Source organism: Homo sapiens, chromosome X (assembly GCF_000001405.40).
Source record: "Homo sapiens chromosome X, GRCh38.p14 Primary Assembly".
NCBI classification, from domain to species: domain Eukaryota; kingdom Metazoa; phylum Chordata; class Mammalia; order Primates; family Hominidae; genus Homo; species Homo sapiens.
The window spans coordinates 7983492-8004864 of record NC_000023.11 but is presented as its reverse complement, the minus strand read 5'-3'; the positions used below and the strand labels follow the sequence as shown (position 1 = coordinate 8004864).

General features: G+C 40.6%; 1 long non-coding RNA gene across 4 annotated transcripts in view, besides 1 other annotated feature; it reads right to left on the bottom strand.

The window, feature by feature from the left end:
* The window catches only part of LOC107985675 (uncharacterized), a 528885-nt gene that overhangs the window by 451520 nt on the left and 55992 nt on the right, over positions 1-21373 (bottom strand). The gene's annotated exons all lie outside the window — the stretch shown is intronic.
* Positions 17403-17697: an enhancer, noted in NCBI's record as "tiled region #2843; HepG2 Activating DNase matched - State 6:EnhF, and K562 Activating DNase unmatched - State 9:DNaseU". NCBI's record gives its function as "activates a minimal TATA promoter and a strong SV40 promoter by Sharpr-MPRA in HepG2 and K562 cells {active_cell/tissue: HepG2 | K562}" and the evidence as "EXISTENCE:reporter gene assay evidence [ECO:0000049][PMID:27701403]".

Here is a 21373-nt window from a genome sequence, read left to right as displayed (position 1 = left end):
AAATTTGCTTCAGTTGTTCTCAACCAGTGGCAATTTTACACACACACACCCCACCCACATAACCCAGAAGGGGACATTTGACAATGTTTGGAGATATTTTTGTTTGTCAGGATTGAGGGTGGGGGTGAGACTGGCATTTAGTGGGTAGATGCCAGAGATTCTGCTAAACATCCTGTGATGCAGAGGACAGCCCTCTCGCAACAAAAACAATCCAACACACATTTCAGTAGCGCTGAGGTTGAAAACACACAATTTACTCTGAGCATGTATCTTCTGTTGATAAAACAAGTTTAAAACATCAGAAAATACCTTGTGAAACATATTCTTTAAAATTAAATATTACTTATTCTGAAATATTCTACATAAATATGAATAAAGGAATAACTAGAAAACTAGTAAACTTTGAACACAGTAGGATTCATGAATGTGAAGGTATACTATTTATATATTGAATTAGAGTTTTTGAGAAAGTAATGTTGTTTATATCTTTTTACAGAATGTGGCTTTCTATTTTCCAAAAGACACAATCAAGAAGTTCTTACAAAGGCATTTCAGTTTGATGAGTTTTCAGGAAAGAAAAGATTCAAGAGGTAAGCAAAATTTAATCAGAAACATTTGAGTTTTATTCAATTTCCTATAAAATGCCGTATGGATTTCAAAATTAATAGTGGAATCTACATGACAGACGAATAAGTGGTCATTCTACATTCTAGACATTAGGAGTACTTGTCATATGTTAAAAGAGGAACTGATGTTTCTCATGTCTAAAATTTTGACAGAATTATTTTATTATAGAATCTAGTCTTAGCTGCTAATTGAGCTAGCATCAAGTAAAGATTTCATATGGTTTAAGAGTGTTAAAATTGGGGAACATTTTAATCAAATCCTCATCAATAATAGGACAAATTGAAAATCATTTGCTTAGAATGTGGCAGAATGTGAAGAAAAGAACAGGGCCTCACTTTTGCACTAATTCTGGAAAATATGTGCAGTCCAGATACAATCAGGAGGAAATAGCAGACAAACTCAAATGGAGGGACATTCTGTGAAATAACTGGCTGCTACATTTTAATTGTGCTACTGAGAGGTGACAGCGTGCTGGCAGCCCTCGCAGCCCTCGCTCACTCTCGGTGCCTCCTCGGCCTCGGTGCCCATTCTCTGGTCTGGCCAAGGCCAGAGCCGCCTCCCTTGGCTTGTGAGGAGGTGTGGAGGGAGAGGCACAGGTGGGAACTGGGGCTGCGAGTGGCGCTTGCGGGCCAGCTAGAGTTCTGGGTGGGCGTGGGCTTGGCGGGCCCCGCTCTCGGAGCGGCCGGCCCTGCCAGCCCCAGGCAGCGAGGGGCTTAGCACCTGGGACAGCAGCTGCGGAGGATGTGCAGGGTCCCCCAGCAGTGCTGGCCCACCGGCGCTCGATTTCTCACCAGGCCTTAGCTGCCTCCCCACAGGTCAGGGCTCAGGACCTGCAGCCCGCCATGACTGAGTCTCCCCGACGAGCACTGCCCCCTGCTCCACGGTGCCCAGTCCCATCAACCGCCCAAGGGCTAAGGAGTGTGGGCGCACGGCATGGGACTGGCAGGCAGCCCCATGTGCGGCCCCAGTGTGGGATCCACTAGGTGAAGCCAGCTGGGCTCCTGAGTCTGGTGGGGACTTGGAGAATCTTTATGTCAGCACCCTGTATCTAGCTCAAGGTTTGTAAACACACCAATCAGCACCCTGTGTCTAGCTCAGGGTTTGTAAATACACCAATCGACACTCTGTATCTAGTTAATCTGGTGGGGACTTGGAGAACCTTTATGTCTAGCTAAGGGATTGTAAATACACCAATCAGCACTCTGTATCTAGCTTAAGGTTTGTAAACACACCAATCAGCACCCTGTGTCTAGCTCAGGGTTTGTGAATGCACCAATTGGCACTCTGTAGCTAGTTAATCTAGTGGGGACGTGGAGAACTTTTTTGTCTAGCTCAGGGATTGTAAATGCATCAGTCAGCACCCTGTCAAAATGGACCAATCAGCTCTCTGTAAAACAGACCAATTGGCGCTCTGTAAAATGGACCAACCAGCAGGATGTGGGTGGGGCCAGATAAGAGAATAAAAGCAGGCTGCCTGACCCAGCAGCGGCAACCCGCTCAGGTCCCCTACCGCACTGTGGAAGCTTTGTTCTTTCGCTCTTTGCAATAAATCTTGCTGCTGCTCACTTTTTGGGTCCACACTGCCTTTATGAGCTATAACACTCACCATGAAGGTCTGCAGTTTCTCTCTTGAGGCCAGCAAGACCACGAACCCACCGGGAGGAATGAACAACTTCGGACAGGAGGAATGAACAACTCCAGATGCACCGCCTTAAGAGCTATAACACTCACTGTGAAGGTCTGCAGCTTCACTTCTGAGCTAGCGAGACCACGAACCCATCAGAAGGAAGAAACTCCGAACACATCCGAACATCAGAAGGAACAAACTCCGGCCACGCTGCCCTTAAGAACTGTGAGACTCACTGCGAGGGTCCACGGCTTCATTCTTGAAGTCAGTGAGACCAAGAACCCACCAATTCCGGACACACTACGACCAGGAAAGTCAAAGAAAGATGAGAAATCAGACTGAAGGAGACTAAGAGACGTGAAAACTCATGGCAATGCATAATTCTAACTGGCTCCTCCTGCCTCAAAGCATTTAAAGGCAGTCTGACCATTAGAAGGTAGAAATACATCAGTGCCCATTTCCTGATTTTTAGGTCTTGACTGTGTCTGTGTATAATAATCCTCTTCTAGGGAAATGCATGCTAAAATATTCAGGATATGAAGCATCAGAGTGGAAACTTACCCTCAGATGTTTTAGGAAAAAAGAAAGCTCTTTGTATTCTATACTCAAATTTTTTGTAAGTTGGTGACTGCTTCAAAATAATGTATGAATAGTATGACATTTCAAAATTACATATGTATACCTATAAATTATTGTTTCAAAGTTATGCATATATATTTTTAAGGGGGTACCAAGTCAACCCCAATAAAACCGCATGACTCAAGAAAAAATGATGTTCAATTTACCCACACTATAGAGTTTAGAAAGTAATAGAAAATATTTTCATTTAAAATTATTACAATAAAAATATCTTACCACTGAATAAGGGAGGTACTTCATAACAGCTAATGATTGAAAACAACCCAAATGCCCATTAACAAAATGTCATGTAACTACATAATCATCACTTTTCAGCCACAAAAGAATGAACTACTGATAGATGCTATAACATGGATGGACCTAAAACCATTTTCCTGACTAATAGAAGCAAGGCATAAAAATGCCACATAGTATATTATTACATTCATATGAAATATCTTGAATAGAGAAACCAATAGAAACAAAGTAAATTAGTGGTTGCCAGGGGCTGGGAGAAGGCTAGGATCACTGAGGATGATGGCTAAAAGAGATGAGATTTCTTTCTGACATGATAAAAATATTCTACAGTTGACCGTGGTAATATTCACAATGTCTGTGAATATACCTGATATGGTTAGGCTTTGTGTCCCCACCCAAATCTCATCTTGAATTATAAATCCCAGGTGTTGAGGGGGGAACATAGTGGGAGGTGATTGGATCACGGTGATGGTTTCCCCCATGCTGGTCTCATGATAGTGAGTTATCACAAGATCTGATGGTTTTATAAGTGTTTGGCAAGTTCCTCCTTCACTCACTCTTTTCTCTCCTGCTGCCATGTGAAGAAGGTACTCAGTTCCCCTTCATCTTCTGCCATAATTGTAAGTTTCCTAAGGGCTTCCCAGTCATGCAGAACTGTGAGTCAATTAAACCTCTTTCCTTTATAAATTACCCAGTCTTGGATATTTCTTTATAGCAGTGTGAAAACAGACTAACACAATACCAAAAACTACAGAATTGTGCAATTTAAATGAGTGAATTAAGTGGCATACACACTCTATCACAATAAAACCATTTGAAGAAAAGAGAGATGGGTACTCCTTTTCTTCCCCCTTATTCCTTCAATTTTTGTAAACTACATAATGTACACTGTTAATCATTTGTTCATTTACTGAGCAAATATCTTACCACTGAATGTCACTGAACTTAAATACAAGTAGGAACAGACATGGTAAGTGGCTATTAAATAACTCTTCCTATGTCATTATCCAGGTGTGGCTTGTTTGTGGTTTTTTTTTTTTTTTTTGGAGATGGAGTCTTGCTCTGTCACCCAGGCTGGGAGTGCAATGGTACAATCTCGGCTCACTGCAACCTCTGCCTCCCAGGTTCAAGAGATTATCCTGCCTCAGCTTCCTGAGTAGCTGGGTTTACAGGTGTCTGCCACCATGCCTGGCTAATTTTTGTATCATTATCCATGTTTTTAAAAGTTATGCATCTCAAGGTTCATTAAATATGAGTGAATAAATGGAAAAGGAATTATGTACATGGATTACATAACTCTGACATTTACATTTGTATTTAGATCTTTATTGAAGAGGGGAAATGTAGTGTACTCTGTTAAATAACTTGTGCCTTTATATTGCAGTTTTATAGCACTTACACATTCCCGATGTATGAAATATTTGGAAATCTACTAAATACTGCTTTGTTCTTGGTTTATGCCACATGTACAAAACTTTCAGTTGTAGTGATCATGGTATCATATTGTCACATTCTCCCAAAAAAATGTTTACTGTGCCATTCTATCTTTGTCTCTTTTCCCCCATTTTCCAGATATATTGGTAAGGAAGCCAGAAGTATGTTGCTTCAGAATATGTATTTTCATTTTTTTCTTCTCTTATGTTAGGAATGTAGACACCAGAAAAAATTCTTAGCTTCCTCAAAGGTTACTGTGACTACATTAGCACTGTTTTTCTCTTAGAGTCTAAGACTTAGGCTAGTGGTTATCTAAATTTAGTTCCCAGGATCAGCAGTAAAAGCATCACCCCAAAGCTTGGATAAAATGCAAATTACAGAACTCCACCCCAGATCAACGGAATCAGAAACTCTGAGTCTGGGCCCCAGCAATCTGTTTCACAAGCCTTTCAAAGGTCATCTAATGGTTTGAGAAACAATGTCTTGGATCACTAGTTTTCAAAGTCATTTTGTGGTAGAACTCACCTGAGAACCTGTTTAAAAATTCAGGCTCATCCTGATTCAATAGGTTGTGCCTGAGCATTAGAAATTTGTGCTTTTAGAAGAGCTCTGGTTGCTTCTAACTTAGGTAACTGGGGCAGGATGAGTGACTGCATGGTCAGTCTCTCTGCTGCATCAGCATTTACAAGAAATCCAACAATGACACAGCATGGGTGAAGGGATAGCTTTCATTGGAGACTGGGGTACATTCAAAAGCCAAGGTCAATGAGAGAAGAGAAACCACTGTTTCTGTCCATCCTCATCCTTCAGAGAGGTGTGCAGAGGACAGCATGGCTGGACACACCATGAGGGTCTAGGCTGGACACCCGGCCACCTGATTGCTCTCCTTTGTGTATAGGACAAGCATGTGGGCAACCTTATCAGTGAAATGACACACAAACTTCTTGGCTGTCTGGTCACCTGGAACTGGTCAGCAGCCATTTATAGCTGCTGGGCACCTAGAGACTCTGGAACCCAAGGGGTTGTTACAGGCCCTCCTGTCATGGGCAGCTGAGTTTGCATGCAGCTCCCTGCTAGAGGGTAGCGGAAGAAGTCCCCTGGTTCCAGGTGGCCCAGGGTCAATGCAATCTAGAGAGGGCAGTCAGAGTCATGTTAAAAACTTAGCTCACTGCACCTCAGCCATATGCAGACCATGCTTTCAGAAGTGTCTTCACAGACTATTACATAATCTCTAATCTTTTGGATTTCTTTGATAGGCTTTTTTTTTTCCATCTGCTGTCCTGGAAAAAAAAAATTATGGAAGGTCCTATTTTAGTCAGTAGGTCTGCTATAAGAAAATACTGTAGCCTGGGTGGCTTGTAAACAAAAGACATTTATTGCTCACAGTTCTGGAGGCTGGAAGTCCAAGATCGAGACTTGGCAGATTCAGTGTTTGGTGAGTACCTACTTCCTGGTTCATTGACAGCACCTTCTTGCTGTGTCCTCACATGGTGGAAGGGGCAAGGGAACTCTCTGGGATCTCTTATATGAGGGCACTAATCCCATTCATGAGGGCCCCACCCTTATACCTAATCAACCCTCAAAGGCCTCACCTCTTGAAACCATCATACTGGGAATAAGGATTTCAACACAGAAATTTTAGAAGACATAAACATTCAGACTATAACAGTGCTTTATTTCTGAGACTCTATTTCCTTTCTAATCCTTAACCCATGCCCCACTTCCCACTTCATGCTACATGGTTCTAGAAGTTCACATTATTAGAGTCTGAAATGAAGCACTCACATATGGCTATTAGTTTGATTTTTTTTTTCCATTTCTGGGTCAATGAAGGCCTTTTTGTGGGTCCATAAAGATATAGTCAAGAAGGTATATGAGGTACACTTCCTTCTTGCATGTTATAAATGAGGGTGGGTTGATCCCTTCCAAAGCCTCTACATGGAAATGATTTAGAAAATGACAGGCGTGGCTGTTGAGTATTTGCCTTTATAAGCCAGAGGGCACTGAATGCAAATTGAAAAAGCATAAATTGATTAAAGTAGAGCTAGTATTTCTAGAGGAATTTTAAAGGTGTTTCCCTACGAGGTCTTCATGCAGTGCAAATAGGTGCTCCAATGTTTGCTCCCAACCAATATTAATTCACAACCAAACAGGAAGCAGTGCAAGCACAAACTTTTGTTGCTTGGCAGGATTTGTCTCCATCTCAACAGTAAGTGGAACCTGGAGTCTTATTTCAAGTTGTTGTATACCTTATAGAATCTGTTGCATATCTAGAAAATATTGATACAAGTGTCTGAATATTCATTTGGCAAGCTATTGAGTTTTATTATAGAGTGTGGGCTTCATTATCCTCAACATTTTGTTGTATTTGTAAAGCTAGATTTTATAGAATGCTCTTTAAATTATTATAGAGAGAGGTACCTGAAAAGATGAACCTTCTCAATAATGGGGGGCAAGATTCTAATGCTCAGAAGAGTCAAACCAAGTCACAAGTACCCTTAAAAGACTGAGTTTTAAATGAGGTTCAGGAGGCATGCTATACATTAAATTCATCGAGTCTGTATCTTGAAATAAATTGCAGAAGAGGATTGGGAGGGTAAGTTAAACACTTTAAAAGTGGCCTCGACACATGAAGTATTTTTGTGATGTATGTTGAGTGAGGAAAGAACAAGCTACCCAGCACAAAGGCTTGGGTGCTCAGAATGAAGGCTGGAGTCAGGAAAGAAGAAGCCACCCAGCACAAAGGCTTGGGTGCTCAGAATGAAGGCTGGAGGGCATAGAGGAAGCCTTGTGTTGACACAGTTGTAAAAAGGCAACAGAGCACTAGCACCAGGCCATTAGATGCCTGCTTCTCAGGCTGCTTTTTGTTGAAAGTGCACATTACACACCCTTGCATGGATCCAGTGAATTAAGACATTGAGAAACAATTGAAAAGAGTCAATAAAATGAAGGCTTTCCCTGAGTTTATGGAATCTCTCAACTCTTAAGAACTCATTCTCCCTACTTTAATTGAACAGGAAAAGTCATTTTTGAATACGAATGTCAACAGAGGAGACAGAAAGTAACAAGCATTATTTTTCTGTTTGAAGTGAATAGTCTATTTGGCAACAATATTTCCACCTTGGTTCTTCCAAGAGGACAGGGGCCAAGGTATCAGGCATAGAGTTAAGCTCCTAAATCCTGTGAGGTGCTACAAAGTGAACCATTTGCCAAGGAATTTCCTCTTATCTAACTCAAGAAAAGCCCCAGTGCCTGTCCAAAGAGAAGGACTGGGGTGCTTCTGACACACCCACAGGGTGACCAAGTATGTGTGGTCAGGTATCACTCAAGGGTCTTTACCTAGAAAGGAAGAATTTAGCTGCATTCAGGATGATTCAGGATTTTTTGGTTTGGTGAAAATTAATAATAATGATAAATATATAAACTCCAGAAATCTAAGATATTATTTCACTAACTGAATACCTTTAAAAAATACTAAAAATAACAATCTAATGTTCAATAGTAAAAGTTAAATATCCATATTTGAATAAAGGACAAGAACAGTTGTTAATAGATATTACCACAAACAAAAAAGTTCATTTTTATACTATAGAAAATGTATGTTTAAACATTAGGTCAAGAAGGCTAGTATTGAATTTTTAACAGGGCAGTTCATAGATTGGTCTTTTTTATTGTCGGACAGTGCCACCTGCAGGAACAACTCAGGTTCTTCACTTCAGAGTGAAGGTTTTCAGCAATCTAATTTTCTTGTGTTCAGTTTGGTTATTTTTTAAGGTAATAGGCAGGTGAGAAGTCTGTTAGGCTATTTCATGTTGAAATCATATTACATTTGCAACACTTATTCAGGTGACACGTAATGTGCAAAAATAAATCTTTAGTTTCTTCTTAAGAAAATACTAAACCACATTATTAAAAATTCCTCCAAGGAAACTGTGACATTAGTGCAAAACTTACAATTATATGTATATACAAAACTTACAATGATATGTATATATAACACTTATATGTATATATAATCCATTTTACCTGGTTTTGGGTCTCATAAGAATAATAAATAATTTCTATTTCAGGAACTCTACAATGAATATGTAGACCGATTTATTGATTCATTTGTTTCTATTTTATTGTTAAATTGATTTAATCTTATCACAAATGAACATACCATTTTTACCCTCTTAACCATCTTTAAGTATACAGTTCAGGCCAGATGTGGTGGCTCACGCCTGTAATCCCAGCCTTTGGGAGGTGGAGGCGGGCAGATCACAAGGTCAGGAAATTGAGACCATCCTGGCCAACACTGTGAAACCCCGCCTCTACCAAAAATACAAAAAATTAGCGAGACTCTGTCTCAAAAAAAAAAAGTATACAGTTCAGTATTTAGCATATTCATATTGTTGTAAATCCAATTTCTACAACTTTTTCATCTTGCAAAAATGAAACTGTGTACCCGTTAAACAATTCCAAATTTCCCCTGCCCCACACCCTAGTAGCCCCCTAGGGTGCCACTTTCTGTTTCTAGGAGTTTGCCCACTCGAGATACCACATATAAATAAAATTATACAGTGTATGCCTTTTAAAAAATTGACAATATAAACTTTGAAAATCACTCAAGGTATTTATTCTTGCAGATACTGAAATGGATCCTGGAGGAAGGTATTTATTATGGATCAACACATGTGAAAAGGAGGAGATGGAAATAGGATGAGGTACAGGGAAAAGATGAGCTGCAATGCAGCCTTGAACCACAGGAGCTAGGGAGCAAATGTCTGTTAGTGTTGTCCTATGCTGGATTCAAATGACTGGGCTTTACATCCCTACATGATGCCTTCTTTGGAAGTGGGTCACCCAGGGAAACACGTGTCTCTCTGCAGCCAAAGGAACCCGAAAGGATCTGCCGCCTAACCATATACCTGCGGCTGGCCAGCAAGACCATCTTTTTTTGTGACGGAGTCTTGCTCTGTCACCCAGGCTGGAGTGCAGTGGTGCGATCTCGGCTAACTGCAACCTCTGCCTCCCAGGTTCAAGCGATTCTCCTGCCTCAGCCTCCTATGTAGCTGGGATTACAGGCATGCACCACCACGCCTGGTTAATTTTTGTATTTTTAGAAGAGACGGGGTTTCACCATGTTGGTCAGGCTAGTCTCAAACTCCTAACCTCGTGATCCACCTGCCTGGGCCTCCCAAAGTGCTGGGATTACAGGCGTAAGCCACAGCGTCCGGCCTAGACCATCCTTGAAGGATGATCTGGGTGGCATGTCATGAGTCCGCCACACTCCATCCGAGGCACCCATCTCTGTTTGGGGAACACTTCTCTTCAGGATCCCAGCAGGCTTCTCCTTCTAGGGGAAAGCTCAGTACAAACAGGTTAAGAGAAAAACCTGAAGCCCCAGTGCAACATCTCATCTCAGGATCACAACAGACATTCATCTCCTGTCTCCTCTCAAAATGCTTCTAGATCCCATACCCTTGGCTACCATTTCTGCTGGTCGTGACTTGAAGCAACAGAAGTCCTCACTCCTGGGGGTCACTGAGCTCAGGCACTATGTTCTTTGAAATCCAGGGTCGTTGTCCCTGTTCATTTTGGTCACAGTAAATCCTGAGGTGACACCCTTCTTCCTCCCTGCTCCATTGTGTAACAGCATCATGATCTCTTCTAATAATGAAGGTCAAGATGGCAACACTTCTACTTGCGTATTGGAAACAATGAGCCTGAAGTGCCCAAGCAGCCTCTGTTGCTTATAAAATTAACAGGGTTCTTTCCTATCCCCTGGCAAATATATGCTGCCTTTGGGGGACTAGTAGTACCTCTAATTCTGCAGAACTAAGAGTTGCAAGGACAGGAAGCACAAGGTCCCTCAGTGGGTCACTGGGAACAATGGTGAGTGGGGACCTTTCTACTTTTATCTCTTCGCTTCATGACCCATGTAATCTTCTCACTGGAGACGTGGTGCCATATTCAATCTTTGAATGTATAGACCACACACTGAAGGAGAGCATCCTACCTTCACAGGCAGCCTGACAACTGTCTAGTCAGTCATTCATTTATCTTGTCCTTTGACACTTGTGTATTGTCCAGTCTTTATCTGATACGTAGCCAGTGTTTAGCTTCTTATTCCTGAGCTCGCCTGCTCTCAGATTCCTGCCCTGATATTGTTTTCCATTTTTGCTCACAGAGTCAGGGTCACTGTGTGAAGTTGTGCAATTGTGCACTGCCCAATACCAGGGGTGTGCTTTGTGCAGGATTCCTCTGTATGAACAGTTCCTCTAGGAGTGACGCCATTCTTACTGGTTGCAGTATGATGACGCCATCCCCAGTGAACAATATTTCTAAGTCAATAACAGTAGTTCAGAGATGCCTTTTCATATTGAGAAGCTGGTGTTTGGAGAGAGACAAATGAATCTTATTAGTGATTTTTATCAGGACAAATCATTATCTAATATTTGGCTACTGGAAATGCAACACAACTTATATATTATATTTGCATATAACTAAAGAAACTCTATCACCTTTCATTATCACTACCCCTATTGCCATCAATAAAGAAATCAATATGCCACTAGTGTAAAACAGAGATTTTTTCTGAGGGTACATTCTGTGGGAGTGATAAGCATGTATTCTAACAGAAAAGATGGAAAGCTGCCTCTTTTAAGTTTTATAGTTTTCATTTCCTATGCTTTTTATCTCTGATGGTCTGTAAACGTCATAAAACCTTTTAAGAAATTTGAAATATCAAGGTGTGTTCCCTGAGAAAGATGTAATTATGGATGTGCACATATAGTTTCCGAGTGTTTACAGCCTCCCTAATGTCTATCCATAGGTTCTGGGAGATTCCATGGGTCCTGGAATTTGGTAGCCAGGGTGATATATAACAGACACCGAATTTGGAGTCAGAAGGCTTGGTGATAATCTTGTTCTACAATTTACTAACTGCATGACCTTCTGCAAGGCAATTCTGTGTACCATTGCCAGTTGTAGTGTGACTATAATTATTTTTATAATGATATCTTACACAGTGTTTTTGAGCATCAGATGGGAAGACAAACTGGAAAACCTCTGGCCAAAGCTGGATACATTTTTTTTTAAGTGGGATTAATAAACATGTTGTTCACCTGGTACTTATCAGTATGGGTTTCTACAAATGGTTGCCTTTCTGTAATCCCTTCTATGCTTATTGGTCAGCCCAATCAATCTTCAAAACAGTTACACCTTTCACAGAAAATGAGTAAAGTGTTTTCCATTAGGATATTTCCCCATTACATCTGGATAATAAAATCTCAATAATATCCACATGATATTTAGGCAGCTGTGTGCTTAAACACACAACCAGTTTGATTATGTCTTGGTGAGTAGTTTCAGGGGTTGTGCATGTCCAAAGGCATGCAGTGTGAGCTGTAAGCATGCCAAAGTAGCAAGAGAAAACCCAAAAAGATCTCCACAATGCCGATATTTGAAATGATGAGGTTTCCTCTTGTGTTCATTGCTTAGTTGTGCTAATTCAAGGAACCAATTAATAATCTTCAAACATCTACTAGATTCAAAGTATCATAACAGATATGCCATGAGGATGCACCAAAGTATGAGACACACACACCTGACTCTCAAATATTTTACAATGAGCTTCCTTCTGGACTTGCCCCATGCAAATGAAATCTCAACTCAAAAGACATTGGATGAGGGTGATTTGTGCTAAGGGAAGAGAGAAGCAGTCAGAGCCCGCACACCCTGGCATGTGCAGGGAAAGCAACAAGTAGTGGTTGGGACAGAGGACAGAGCTGGAACCAGGAAGGCTAGCTGGGAGAGCTCAGATCATTTCCCATACGGCTAATGGAATAAGGGAGGGAGAAATAATGGCAGGAAGGTGGGCTCTAGGGAGGGCTCTCCAGGCAATTGTCTATTTGCTGCTTAATAATTACCGATGGAGCCCTAAATGTATGGCAAAAAAAAAAAGTTACGTTTTTTACGGTAAGGAAGGCTGTATCATTCTGCAGAGGATTGAGGTGAATCAGTCCAGCGTGCCTTCAATCATTCTATCACTAATTTACTACTACTTCTACTACTACTACACACACGCACACACACACACACACACACAGAGAGAGAGAGAGAGAGAGAGAGAGAGAGAATGCATATATCACAATATATTGACTACAATATAACTCTGAATCCTTTCTGGACCTTCTTCCTCCAATCTCTACTGTAATAAGATGCCTTTGCATGCCTACTCCATTGGACTGATGGAAAAAGGATTAATGATAGAGTCTTTGGATGAGTTTAGAAAGCACTGCAAAAACATATGCAGTGAAAGAGAGAGGGAGAGAGAAATATGTTTCATGTTAATGTCTCAGATCTGAGAATACTTTGGACACCAGACTCGGGAGTAAGCATTTCAATGGTGATTGAATCTTCAGTGGTGAACCCAATGCCCAAAGCTTGCTCTACTGGCATGAGTTTAATCTGTACTCTAGTCCCCAAGCTGCATTTGGTGTGATTTGAGTTATGATTTTAGAATCTAGGCTCAGCACCATGTCCTAAAGTTATTTTTCTGATGCACATATGAGATTTCTATCACAATTAGAAAAGTGACATGAATTGTGCAGAAGACTTCCCAGTTCCAGATGACTATTCCTATGGGTCACACATCACTGTCAGCCACATGCTTTTCATGAGAGTCACAAGGGAAGGTCAGGGAGAGCAGGCCATCCTTGCCCCAAAATTCTCTAAGGCACCAGAACTTTGACAGGGTGTAGTGAAGACAGTGTCCTATTACAGCAAATAAGAAGACAGGCCAGAGGTTTTAGAGGTGTTGATTTTTAAGCCTTAAGCAAAACTGGCTTAACCATAAGAAAAGAAGTTAAGAAGAATATGAAAAAAAAGATTTTATCTATTACATCTGTGCCACAATAAATGTCACAGATTTAATTAGCTCATTTCACTGTATTATATGAGTCTATTTTTTTACATCATCAATTGAGCATCCACATTCACTACATTGCAAAAGACATTTTCCAGAAGTCCCCAAATTTATCCACGTCTTAAGATGGTTTCAATGAATGGTCCATACATTGCAATCCCGAAAAATGGAGGCAAATGTGCTTCATTTCTTCTTGCTCATGAGCAGGTGGTTTTCACTAGCTCATATCTTTGATACCTCTAAAATGGTTTTTGAAAAGTACAAATGTGTCACTTACAGGGAAGACACCAGCAATAGCTTCAATATCCATAAAAAATGTGTCAGTAAAAGGGAGTGAAAAATGGAACACAAGTTTCCTTTTCCCTTGCTATAAACAATGAGCAAGCCCAGAATATTTTCTATAAAAACACACATTTTGTTTAAGAGCCAGTATCATGAACCCTGTGTTCGTTCCTATAAAATATTGCTTCCAATAACAGTTTGGGGGAGGAAAATATATTTAATAATTCTCAGTCAACTTAGTCCAGTGCACTAAAGCTTAAATAAAATGTAATTTAGAAAACAACATCCTAGACAAAACAAGATGACAATGGTGAGGTTTTAAAAAAATCTCTATAAATCTTTTCACAAAACTACACAAAGCAACTGAAAAGAAAATGGACACTGTGTTGGTTTCCCATTCCTGCTATACCAAATGACCACAAACTCAGTGGCTGAAAACGAATCAGATTAATTATCTTCTAGTTCTGAAGGTCAAAAGTCCAAAAACAATCTTCACGGGACTGAAATCAAAGTGTTGGTGGGGCTGCATTCCTTTCTGGAGGCTTTAGGGGAGGATTTTTGTTTGTTTCTTTAAAATCTTATAATATTGCCACAGCATATCTCAGTGTTTATTGTTTGGGATTAAGGTTGATGTTCATAGCTACTCACTGTGCCTTTTCACTGTGGAGATTCAAATCATCTTTTGATGCTCTCTTTATCTCTTGAAGACATGGTAACAGAATGGAGCAATATAAAAATTATTAAAATAATGTGCTAAAAGAAAATGATTAATAAATAGCTAATAGCAATAATAAAGCATCTACAAGTATCTAAGTAAGGATAAAATCCAAGCAGACTCTTCTGCGATGATTTGGTGAACCCTCAGGGGTCAAGCACGAGGAAGCCCTAGGGGTCTGATGTTTTACGGTGGAAGTTCAAGAGAGGACACCCTTGGGTTTGACCTCCATCTCATGCACACAGATGCAATTTGCATCTTAAGCATGTATACATCATTATTGTAGGGCATACTCAACATATTTTATCACTATGACTGACACAGAAGTTAAGGCAGGAGCTTCCCAATTATAAAAAAAAAAAAACCCAACCCACTAAGCTGAGCCAGAGAAAACTAATAAAAACAATTAGAGCAGTTTTGATGCAGGTCTTGCTGGAGAGTCATCCATCTCCAGGTGAGTCCATGAGCTCAACCAGATGTTCAGCTGCAATAAGACCTTCTATCTTATTCTTCAGCTGGCTAAGCCAGATGGTGGGGAGATGTTATCTCTTCATCCCTCTTTCTCACTCACTTGTCAAGTTTAAGTCTTTTTCACCTTGGTCCCCAAGTAACTGAGAGCTGCCAAGTGCCTAGGTGTTGACAACAATGCAATCACTCCCTCTCAAAAGAGAGAAAGGGATGGTTTGTCTGTGGCAAATAACTGGCAGCGTGGGTAGGGGGGAATGTCTTAATCTGTTTGTGATACTATCACAGAATAGCTGAGAGTGGTAATTTATAAACAACAGACAATTATTTCTCACAGTTCTGGAGGCTGGAAAGTCCAAGATTGAGGCACTGGCAGAGTCAGTATCTAGTAAGAACTGCTCTCTGCTTCCAAAATGACAACTTGTGACTGGGTCCTCAACATGGCAGAAGCCAAAAGGGACGAGTTAGTCCCCAGAGCCCTTTTATAAGGGCACTAATCGCCTGCTAATGGCCCCATCTCTTAATACATTCCCTTTGGGGACTACGTTCCAGCGTATGAGCTTTGGAAGACACATGTATGTGTAAGTCCTACACTGTCAGAATCTATCTTGGCTCATCATCTCCTTACTAGCCAAATCCATGGGACAACGGCAAACCAAGCTATCAGGGGCCGCCACAGTGCTGCTTAGGGGTGGTGCAGCCACTTGGCTTGGTTTCACCTTTGCTTCCACATCCTCCACTGTTAACCGACCCCAGTGCCTGTATATTGGGGTATGGATGTTCTGTTGTCAGGCCAACTTGGGAGGATATGATTGTATAGGACGTCCTCCCAGTGATGTAGCCACAAGTCCCTTTTGATGTTCCTAAATGGTTTGTAAACTTTTTCCACATTTCTGTACGTCAAGGTTCTCCTGTAACCTAATAAGTCCATTGCCCCGTGCATGTGGCAAGTCACTGCCCCGAGACACCGGGTTGCAGCAGAGAAAGAGGTTTAATCATGGGGCTGCCAAATGAGGAGATGAGAGGAAACCTTCAATCCATCTCTCCAAGGAGTTTGGGGCTAGGGGCTTTAAGGGTTTTGGAGTGGGCCGAAGCGTGGAGATCACTGATTGGTAGAAGAGTGCAGGGTGAAGTCATGGGACAGGGCAATGAAGAAGCTGTGTTCTCACGCTGATTGGGTTCCTCTGTGGGGGGTCTTCAAACTGGTTGGCCTCAGCTGTTTCACTGGAATTCAGGATCTGCTGAAGCAATTCTTAAACAGAAGCCTCTGATTCTAACATCAGAGATCCTTTCGATAGGAACAACAGAGATGCAAATGGTCAGGATCTAGTGCTATGGGGCTCGTGGTTACAAGGAAGTGGGTGCAAGTGCAGCCTGAGGAATGCTGAATGATGACTCTATTTCTGTCCGGAATTCTTGGGAACCCTGTGAGGATGGCTTCCTGCCCTGAGTAGCCCCAGAACTCTTGTGGAGCATCCACTAGGAATGTATGAGGTAAAGGGGTTGATTTTATTAGATCCTCATATTGCTCCAGGTTTATGAGTCACTACTTGTCCTCAAATGCAGTCAATACAAAGGTATTTCCTTAAGAAAAAACAGTGGGCTCATCAAGTCAACACCACACTGTATTTCATCAAAGAGAGCCTTCCTTACACATTGACAGCATGTGAACTTCCCCCTGACTCAAAATACCTATAAAGTGCCCTGAGCAGACCCGGGAGCAGGATCACAGTTAAGTAAAGTGTTCAAGTCTCACTGTAGAGTATTTTCCTTTGGTCCCTAAGCCCTCTCCTAGCCATAGCTTTAAAATAAATAAATAAAAGCCCTAGCTTTCTCAGGCAACTGTCAACCCGTCATTGTTTTCAGCTGTGGCTCTTGCCACAATTGAACCCAAATTCATTTTTAATGATAACATTTCTACACTTTTGCAAAGTAGTTAACCCAGATGTGACACACTGAGAATAAAAAGCAGATGTCTTCATCAGATCCTGAATGTGCTACTCTCATAAAACATATCTATTCATAAATGTCTTAGGCTAGACGATGATTTATTGTAGCTGAGCTTTTCATGCCCCGCCAAAAGAAAGGCTAGAAGCACAAGTGTGGGAGTTTACCAGCTGTCCTGATGAAACAAGAGAGAACCCACTCATGTCTTCATCACAATTGTGCCCAAGGACAGTTTTTCTAATCATGCTATGTCAAGTTTTAGCACAAACAATGTTGTAATTTCCTACTTCCTCTTTTCAGAATCACAAGTTACTAATGAAGAAAAGAAATAAAAGAAAAAACCCTAGAGAGCAACTGTACCCCATCTGTAAAATATTCAAAAAAGAATAGAAATGAAGGCTTATTGCACACACAAACGAGGCTGCAATTTGTGAAAGTTGTGAGAATGAAGTGGGGGTGACTAGTGTTAAGAAAATCCTGGCAAACAGAGCCAGGGAAAACCATGGAGATGGTTCACATGCTTGTAGGTCTGATAACAAAAACTATCACAAAAGGCTGCAAAAACCACAACCTTGCACAAATGTCATCGCAACCTTACAGAAAAAATACTTCTATAAGGACATCTGCCAAACAACTCCCTGACCAAACTCGGACTGGTGTCACCTTTGTTATTGATTTTTGTAGTCAAAGATAATGATTTCAAAACAGTTACATCATCCTCCTCATTTTTCCCTTTAAAAACTTTTGTCTTCCTTTACCTCCCTGAATAGGCGTATAGTTTACTATGGCATGTGTGTTTCTATTGCAATGCCCTGTTCACAAATAAACATCTTTTCTTTTGGAGAGACTCTCTGTTATTTAGGTTGACAAAGTAAAATGTAGTTTTCACTATTTTGACTTCATGGCATTTCCTTTAAGTCTCAGGCTCACCAGTGCATGTTTATATGGAACGAAAAAAAAAAAAAACTATTATTTGAACAGACAGTGCCGCCATAAGAATGTGGGATTTATAAGTACCACGCGCTAACCGATTGCGCCACTGGAGAGTAAACTATCGCAAGAACAAAGAACCAAACACCGCATATTCTCACTCATAGATGGGAACTGAACAATGAGAACACATGGACACAGGAAGGTGAACATCACACTCTGGGGACTGTTGTGGGGTGGGAGGAGGGGGGAGGGATAGCATTAGGAGATATACCTAATGCTAAATGACGAGTTAATGGGTGCAGCACACCAGCATGGCACATGTATACATATGTAACTAACCTGCACATTGTGCACATGTAACCTAAAACTTAAAGTATAATAATAATAAAATAAACCAATCCAAATGAAGATTTAAAAAAAAAATTTAAAAAAAAGAATGTGGGATTTAAAGACGGTGCATTCTAACTTCTTGAGGGTCTGAGTTTAACACTGATTCCAGTGTGCTGAGATTCCTTTGTCCTTGGGAATGACCTCCTTGTGTTTGGGTGGTGGATCCCAAGGGCCTCCTTACAGAGACAAGAGAATCTCCAAGTTCAAGGGGACCTTACCTTAAATATTAACCAGTCCCAAATCCATAGAGACAGAAAGATTAGTGGTTGCCAGGGGCTGGGATAAGGGAAGATTGGAGGGTGATTACTAATGGCTTTCTTTTTGAGATGACAGAAATGTTCTGGAATTAGATAGTGGAGATGGTGATACCTGTACACCCTTGTGAATATACTAAAAACTAGTGAATAGTTATACTTTAAAGTGGTAAATTTTGTACTATGTGCAATATCTCAATAAAAATGAATGAAAAGGTCAGTACTATGTTAAAGTTCTTTTGTGTGCATGAGCCCACACACACGTGTCACCAGTCAGTCTACACATTCATATGGTAATGCTCACATCAGCACCCTTGCCATGGGATCACCCAGCTTATGTACAAATACACCCAGGATAGAGCAAGGCACCACCTTTCAAAGAAGCCCCTTCCATTGTTGAATGACTCTTGCTATTAGAAAAGAATCCCACCAGCCAGCTGAAATAGGCTTTGCTGTGGCCTTCACTCACTGGCACTGCTGTTACCCCTTGCAGCTTTAGAAAATGACTTTATTAATCTTTATGAAAAAGATGCCTTAGCAACAACTTTCCCATTACTCCTGGATCATCCCTTCTCCAGATTATATAACCTCAGTGTCATCAACCACACATCCTGAAACTTGGTTTTGAGTCATCTTTCTCATTATTCTCCTCAAAGTGTGTTCAGTTTATCCAGGTTTTTTCAGTAGTGTGGTTTCTTGAGCTGGAAGAAGTACTGCTGAAGTCATCTCATGCAGCTCTCCAAGAAGCAAAGCCCAAGTCCCCAACATCTCCCCTGACATTGTGGTGAACACCAAGAAGCTATAAGATCAGATGTCTTCTCTCAAGTAGGGCTGCCAGATAAAATACAGGACTGTTTAACATGAATTTCAGGTAAACAATGAAATATTTTTTGTATAATCATGTCCTAAAGACTGCCTGGGACACACTTATACTAAAAAAGTATTCGTTGTGTATCTGAAATTTGCATTTATTTGAGTACCTCGTACTTTTTGGGTTGACTTTATTTTTTAGTATGGGTTTAGATTCACAACAAAATTGAGCAGTAAGTACGTAAGGTTCCCATGTACCTCCTTCCCCAACAAACCTACATGCACACTTTCAATATCCCACCTCAGACTGATAGGTTTGTTATCACTGACGAGCCAATAATGATACATCGTTATAACCTAAAGTTCATAGTTTCCATTAGGGTTCACTCTTTATATTGACAAATGCATCATGACAAGTATCCATCATTTTAGTATGATGCGCAGTATTTGGGCTGCCCTAAAAAATTCTCTGTGCGCCACCAATTGATCCTTCCCTGTCCCCAGCCCCTGTAAACATTAAACATCTTACTGTCTCCATACTTTTGCCTTTTCCATAATGTCATCTATATAGCAGGAATCATACAGCATGCAGCCTTTTCAGATTGGCTTTTTTCTTTTGGCAATATGCATTTCAGGTTCCTTCTGATCATTTCATGGCTTGCTAGATCATTTCTTACAATTGCTGAATGGTATTGCATTGTATGAATGTGCCACAATTTGTTTAGGCACTCGCCCATTGAAGGACATCTTAGTTGCTTCCAAATTTTGGTAATGATAGATAAAGCTGCTAAACATTTGCATACAAGTTTTTGTGTGGACATAAGTTTTCATTTGGGTAATTACCAGGGAGTGTAATTTCTACATCGTATGGCATGTCTATGTTTAGTTTTGTTAAGACTACGCTTAGTTTTGCAACATTTGGCAACCCTATTTTCATTGAGTTGTACCCCTTTTTAAGAGGCAAAGAACAAGCATATACTTCAATGAGAAAAGGCTGTAAAGGACATCTGAAACTCATGTGTTCAGTCATTCATGCATTCATTTGATATTTATTGAGCACAGTTATGTGCGAGATCCTGGAAGTACAAACATATGTAATGGAAAAGATTCACGCACAAACCAAAGCAACATAACAAGGGCAGTAGGAAAGGCTCCCAATATGCAAGTGACAGAATGAAGAAAAGATGGAGGAATTTTACCTGCAGCAGCTTCAAGAGATGCTCAGAGAGGTATGAACTAGCAATGTCACACATTTATCCAATCAACATTTTTTTACCCTTTTCCTACACTGGGTCTGAGGACACAGCTATGGTGAAACAGGTGACCTCGCCAAGTATCCTACAGAAAAACAACTAAAGCACATTTGTGCAACTCAGAACTACAAGCTCTTCCTCATGATTTGGACAACAGATGCCTTCAAAGAGTGGTTCTTTTTCCTATATTTTCCTTCCCTTAAGGGAGAATTCCTTCTTCCACCCTAAAAAGAAAACACAACCATCAATTTCCCAAATATGAAGAGGGAAATGCATGTGTGTGTTAACAGTGGTTACCACCTAGTGGAATTTTAAGCTTTAAGGATTTTTCTCCCTAATGCCTGCAATTTCCTAAGTTGAGTCAACATTCAGAACTTCAGCTACTATTTTCCTACGTGAGATTTTTGTTTCTTGTATCCAATGTGCTAGTTAGGTATTTCTTTATAGGCTTTTTAAGATTTACAGGTGTACCTGATCAAAAATAGCTGGAAAGTTCTGAGATTCTTTTACTGGCTAATCCATGTGTACCCAACTGCCAAGCACTTGGCAAATGACCAAAAGATATGATTTGAAAAGCCAGAATAGCTTGTGCAATAAGTAGCTGACAGATAAAGAAAAATGGCAACTTTATGCTTTAATGGCAATGTAAACTATCTAGAAGGAACATTTATCAGTTCAACAAGAATTGATTTTCTTCACTCTCAACTCCTATGAACAAGTCTTCACTTTCTAAAAGGTAGGAATGTCTGCTCCAGTAATTAATTTATGTGTAACTAGTACATTGTGAGAATCTCTATAAGGCATCTTTCTCTGGCACATATTTTATCTTGATCCTGGATGGAAGATAAT